The 6,517-nt window shown below is 41.0% G+C and overlaps 1 annotated feature.

The window, feature by feature from the left end:
* Positions 2,660 to 3,859: an enhancer, noted in NCBI's record as "P300/CBP strongly-dependent group 1 enhancer chr9:87659683-87660882 (GRCh37/hg19 assembly coordinates)". NCBI's record gives its function as "activates an origin of replication core promoter dependent on BRD2, BRD4, P300/CBP, MED14 and CDK7 cofactors, with strong dependence on P300/CBP, by STARR-seq in HCT116 cells {active_cell/tissue: HCT116}" and the evidence as "EXISTENCE:reporter gene assay evidence [ECO:0000049][PMID:35650434]".

Genomic DNA, 6,517 nt, shown 5'->3' on the forward strand with positions numbered 1-6,517 from the left:
ATAAGAAGATCTGACTCTAAAATAATCTTCCAAATTTTATTTCAGCCAAGTAATAGGCTGTTTCTTCAATAAACAAGGAAATCTTCTGTTTTCTCTTCTGCCTGTCTGTGCCCTGGTTTGCTCTTCCTTGGGCCAAAAAGTTTACAAGATGATGTTATTTCCAACAGCCTCCTCTGTGGGACTCATGGCCCATAAAGCCTTGCCAGCCTTTTCCCTTCTAGTCCTTCTGAGGAGACTCCTGGTAGGTGCTGACCATCTTGCTTCTCAATGGAATTCAAGCATGAACAGTTTGGGTGATGAAGACATAAGCTAGGACTAAAACTCTACTGGAAAAGGAGAACAGCAATTCTCACCCTGGCTCCAAATTGCAGGACAAGGTCTGTGGTGGACCCTACAGCCACCCGTGAGCACATGAACTCCTGTTTGCTCCTGGGACTGATTCAGGGACTAAAATAAGCCTGGGCTAAGAGGCTTAAGGATTTCAAAAAGGAGGATGAATGTTGGGGGAGAGATGAAAAAGGCAGAGTAGTGCCTGGTCACTGCTTGTGCTTAATAGTACTCTTTAGAAGTGAGAAATTGGGTAGAGGTGATAAATCTGTTTCTAAGCAAAACTCTAAAGAAATTGCCATGGGGAAAGGAATTTTGGTCTTACAGGCTTCCTTCTATTATTCTCAGTCACTATACACATGGACTATAGAAAGCCCACATAGCTTAGATGTCTACTCCCATTGGGGACACAGGGATCTGCTAATTCTACAGAGAAGGGTGGATTGGTCAGAACCCCTCTCTAGCTCCCCTGGGCACCAACTTTAATAGGAGCACAAGGTTAGAGCTCAAGGACCCTCCTTGTTTATATCAAGTTTATAAACATGGATCCAAGTTTATAGTTGGGAAAGAGACAGTTTTGGGAAGCCTCTCAGCTAGGTTAAAGAGAAAGCCAGGGTTATTTCTCAAGTCTATGGACTAAAGATCAGACATCTAAAGTTACTCTGGCTCCCTGAAGGCTGAAAACCAGCTCATGCTCTCTGCCTAAAGCTGTGAGCTTGACCTAAAGGCCAAAATGGAACAAAAGACTGAGCCACAGATGTTGATGAGGGTATCTAAGAGACTGTGAAAATAGAATTTCTTCCACCCTTTTCCTCAGGACTAGTTCCATGTCCAATAAATCTTGTGAATGACCACTTATTCTTCCCAACTTCGTGGAGAAATATACCCAGGAGTAAAGCATGATCTCCAAATTGTTACTTCTGAGCCTACTGAGGTTGATGATTTTATCGCTTATCTGAAGTTCTGCATGTTCAAGTTCTGCTCTGACACAGGCCTTTGTCAGGAGCCCAGTTACCATGGCAGTGCCTCCAAAATAGAACAAGCCCAACACACATCCATAGAGGGTACAATAAATAGAATAAGTACTACTTACAATGCATTATTTGGCTTCTACTGGGTAGTAATTTGTGCAGAGTTGAAAATAACTACAGCTCCCCTCCTTCATTTAATTAAAGGAAAACAATTCCACAAATCGGAAATGTGCAGTGTTTATATCAGAGTGGAACTCGAGTTGCTGCATGATCAAGAGGCCAGGATCATGGGTAAATTTACTATGGAAACGTTAATGTATTAAAGCTATTGACGTTCAGAGACTAACTCCAAAGCACTCTTTCTTACAACCCACCTTATACTGTGATTTGGTTTGAGGCACCAGCTAAGTATTAATGAAGATTAGCACCTAAGAAATGTAACAACATTTTTTCCCACTAGTAGAATGAGCATTTCTCTCTTTTTGCCCATGGCCATCCTGGTTTACCTCTATTGTCCCATGATACCCTCAAGTGGCATGCTTTGGATCAAAAATTACATAGGCATCCTAAATCTAAGTAACCCCAGGGTTTAGAAGGCTGGTGGGGGACTGCAGTAAAAAAAAATGTCTAAAATTCCCTCTGAGAGAGAAGATACTCATGTTTATGGTAGATATTTCAATGAATATTATATAGTTTGGGCTGTTTCTAGGTAAATCCATATCTCAGGGCCTCCGGTCTCTCATGTTCTCCCTGAGAGGACCTCCACCTTACACAGAGCAAACAGCCTGACTCAGAGGAGAATACACTGCCTTTGGAATCAGACAGGTCTGGGGTCCAGAAACAACTTTGCCTCTTACTCTGTGAAAGTCTGTTAGCCTTGATCTTATACCTTACATGCATAAAAATGAGGCTAACATTCTACTTTAATTGGCTTGCTGTGAAAACTGAATGATGTTGTGTGTAGGTACAAGTGCCTAACACAATGTCTGGTCTATAGTGAGAAGTGGTTATTCGTGTCTGTTTTTTGTTTTGTTTTGTTTATTTTCCTACAACAGCTGTGGCTAGCATGGTAGACTGGACACACATGACCTCTGGGATCAGTCAGAACTATAAATGATCAATCCCTGGACAAGTTAATTAACCTCTGATGCTCCCCACCTCAAATCTTAAAAAGTAGACATCATCCAAAACATCTCACAAGGTGTAGTGGGGAATGACAGCAATGACAAATGTAAGTCACCAAGCATGGATCCTGCCACTTAGTAGACAGTTGTCACATTTAGGCTCCCTGGGAAGCAGACACCGGGATGGAGAACAGAATGTAGGATGTTTATTAAGGAGTGCCACTGAGATCAATACTTGTATAAGGAAAGAAAGGGAAGCAGGATTGGTCAAAAAATGAATTAAACTGTGATATAGGTCTAAGGACAGTCTCAACCTTCCCCCAAAGGGAGCTCTGGCACAACTATGGCTTTCCAGAGTTCTCCAAGTTTCGCCAAGACAGCTAGACCTTTAGATTCGCACATTTATTAGTGACTGGATGGAAGCTGCCCCAGGAAGATGCATGAACTTGAACAAAGTGGCTTTCTGTAGCTGAAGCAGCCTGTGAAGGTGCTGACAGCTGTAGGCTGTCTGCTACACTTCCAGGAGCCAAATTGACAATTCCTACAATGAAGAAGTATTTGGAGGGCACAGCTCTGTGTCCACCACAATCCACTCCTCTCACTACTTAGAGCTACTGCCTTGTATATATACAGAGAATAGCTTGACGTAATTCCAGTAGGCTTCTCTTCCTGAGAAAAACCTGGAAGAGAAAGATTTGTTGGTCAGATTACAGTCCCTGCCACTGCAGGTGGTCTTAGTGACAAATGTACGATTGTCTTCCTTCTCCACTATCTTTTCTAGACTTCCTTCCCTCCAGTTTACCACCTCTGCTGTTTTTTTTTCTTTTTCTTCTTCTTTTTTTTTTTGTTTTCGTTTTTTTTGTTTGTTTGTTTGATTCACTCTGTCACCCAGAGTGAATCACCCAGTGAATCAGAGTCTGATTCACTCTGTCACCCAGGCTGGAGTGCAGTGGCACAATCTCGGCTCACTGCAGCCTCCGCCACCCGGTTCAAGTGATTCTCCTGTCTCAGCCTCCTGAGTAGCTGGAATTACAGGCACTCACCACCACACCCCACTAATCTTTGTATTTTTAGTAGAGACAAGGTTCACTAGGTCGGCCAGGCTGGTCTTGAAGTCCTGGCCTCAAGTGATCCTCCTGCATCGGCCTCCCAATGTGCTGTTAATTTACAGGCATGAACCACTGTGCCTGGCCATTAGCTGGTTTTAATAGTTTACCTGGTGCAGTGACCTAGACCCACATCCCAGAGCTCCTGGTCACCATGCCCATCTCAGGATGCACTTGTTTATTTACCATCAAAATTGGTCAAGGAAGTATCAGAAAGCAACCAATAGATCAACTGGGTGCTAAACAAATTCTTCTCTGCCCCATTGTATAAGAGCAACACATCTCCTCCTGAGGATCATGACGCTAACTCCTCTCAAAGGAGATTATTCTCTAGCTCTAAGACTTACTGTTGTTTTTCCTGTTGAGTTTTGGACTAATATGGGGCCCATTAATCCTTTTTTCTTGCCTATTTCCCCCTTTTTGGAATGTGAATATCTATCCTATGCATGTTCCATCATTGTATTTTGGAAGTAGATAACTTGTTTAATTTCACAGGCTCACAGCTGGAGAGGAATTTGCCTTAGGATGAACTGTGCCTTGAGTCCCACCTGTATCTGTTTATTATAAATTAACCAGTCTATGGTATTCTGTTGTAGCAGCACAAAACTGACTAAGACAATAAGTTTAGTGTCTCTTCAGGGATGGGTATGCTCTGAAGGGCATTAGCATGTATCAGTTATCAAGTTATTGCCTTTTGGTTTCAAATCCATTCTTTTTAAAATAAACTTTTATTTTAGAGAAGCTTTAGATGTACAGAATGATTGTGAAAGAAGTACAGAGAATTCCCATATACCCCTCACTCACTTTTCCCTATTATTAACATCTTACATTAGTATAGTACATTTGTCACAATCAATGAATCAATACTAATACATTATTATTAACTAAAGTCCATACTTTCTTCAGACTTCACTGGTTTTTTGCTAATGTCCTTTTCTGTTCTAGGATCCTCTCCAGAATATCACATTGCATTTCATAGTCATGTCTCCTTAGGCTGTTTTTGTTGTGACAGTTACTCAGACTTTCCTTGTTTTTGCTGACTTTGACCGTTTTGAGGAGTCCTTGTGCATTATTGTGTATAATGTTCCTCAACTGGGGTTTGTCTGAAGTTTGTATCATGCTTAAACTAAGATAATGTGCCTTGAGGAGGAAGACCACAGGGATAAAGAGTCACTCTCGTCACGTATTTTAAAGGGTACATTCTAGTAACATGAACTTAACACTGTTGACGTTAGCTTTGATGACCTGGCTTGAAGTGGATATTTGCCAGGTTTCTCTACTGTTAATTACTCTTTTTTATTCTTCTCTTTTCATGTTCTGCCTCCTTGAGGGTGCAGTTTTAACATAAATTATTTAGAATTCTTCTGCATGGGAGATTTGACTCTTCTATATATTAATGTATTTAATCATTTATTTATATCAGTAGGAACTCATGGATATTTATTTTATACTTTGGGTAATAATCCAATAGTATTTGATTTATTTTGCCATTCATAGCATTCTAGCTCTGGCCATTTGGAGCTCTTTCAGTTGGCATCTGGATCCCTTTGACATACCCCCATCATTGTGGAGTTCCTTTGTTTGAGCACTTTCTGCCTTTCAGGTACTATGCATGCTCTAGGCCTAGAATTAACCATCTTTTCAAAAAGGCTTGCTTCCTTTTGTTGGAGAATGGTGTTAGAAACCATGATCTGAGTGCTAGGTGTACTTGCAGCAATCTGAGTCATTGTTTCTCGGTCCTCTTAGCTAACAGAACAAGGAAATATATGTGTGTATATTAACTAGTATATATACATGTATCTATAAATATCTCTCTATCTATAACCATCTGCTTCTACATTAAGCCAAACATGAGTTCATACTGATGTCTCCAACTCTAATATGTTGCCACAAGGAACATTCCAGCTTTCTCCCTTTGCTTATCTGTAACCTCTCTAACTACAACAGGGAAAAATCGGGCTCCCATCATCCATTCACTTGATTGTTCTACTCCAGCATTCATATATAATGGTTTCAGAACAGTTAACCCATATACTAATGGAAAAAAATTTCATCTAGAGTACAAATCTTTTCTTTAATTTTTATTTTTTAAATATATTTTTAATTTCAATAGCTTTGGGGATACAAGTGGATTTTGGTTACATAGATGAATATGCACATTGTACATTGTGCCCAATATGTAATTTTTTATCACTTAGCTTGCTCCCATCCTCCCCCTTTCTGAGTATCCAAAGTTTATTATACCACCAACTACAGTAAAATTCCTATGGATAGTACATTTTGCCTTTAGTCTTATAGATACCACTCATTTCCAAAGTGACTTAGATTCCATTCTTCTTTATCCTGTTTGTGATAGTAGAGTTGGACCCTATACCTTTTTTTTTTTCAGCTGACATGATATTAAGCTTTTTCAGTAGAGAGTACTAGAAGGACACTGGAGGGATGCTGAAAGATAAGGGCTTCTCTTCCTGGTTCTGGTATGCTCTTCCCTACTTGCTCCTATCACATCATGGCAGCCAGCAGCATGTGGAATGTCCAGTGATGCTCACCCTTCCATCAAGTTCAGCCAACAGGGCCAGGCTCATGGGCACTCCAGTGCGATAACACAGGACCCCACTCTCAGAAAGGGCCTCGGGCTTGGTTCAATGCTCTGTGGAATTCAATGCTGTCTTGAAATCCTTAATCATTTTATAATTTTGTACCTAGGCCTTATAAGTAAAGTTTAATGGGGCAATAGAGCATGCATTGAGCAGAGGACATAACCAGATGATAGTAAACATGTGGTCTCAGGTCTGCAGGTACAGCAGACAGTGGTAGCTTGAGTGCTAAGCAGTTGGCCTGGCCATCAGGTACACACAGGCATACATGGGCAGTCTGGAACTCTGCAGACCCCAAGAGCATGGCCTTTGCTGGGACAGCAGCAACAGCAGCAGAAACAGCAGAGGTAACAGCTGCAGCCCTGAAAGAGAAGGAATACTCCTCATAGATG

The sequence above is a fragment of the Homo sapiens genome, chromosome 9 (genome assembly GCF_000001405.40).
Source record: "Homo sapiens chromosome 9, GRCh38.p14 Primary Assembly".
In the NCBI taxonomy this organism is placed as follows: domain Eukaryota; kingdom Metazoa; phylum Chordata; class Mammalia; order Primates; family Hominidae; genus Homo; species Homo sapiens.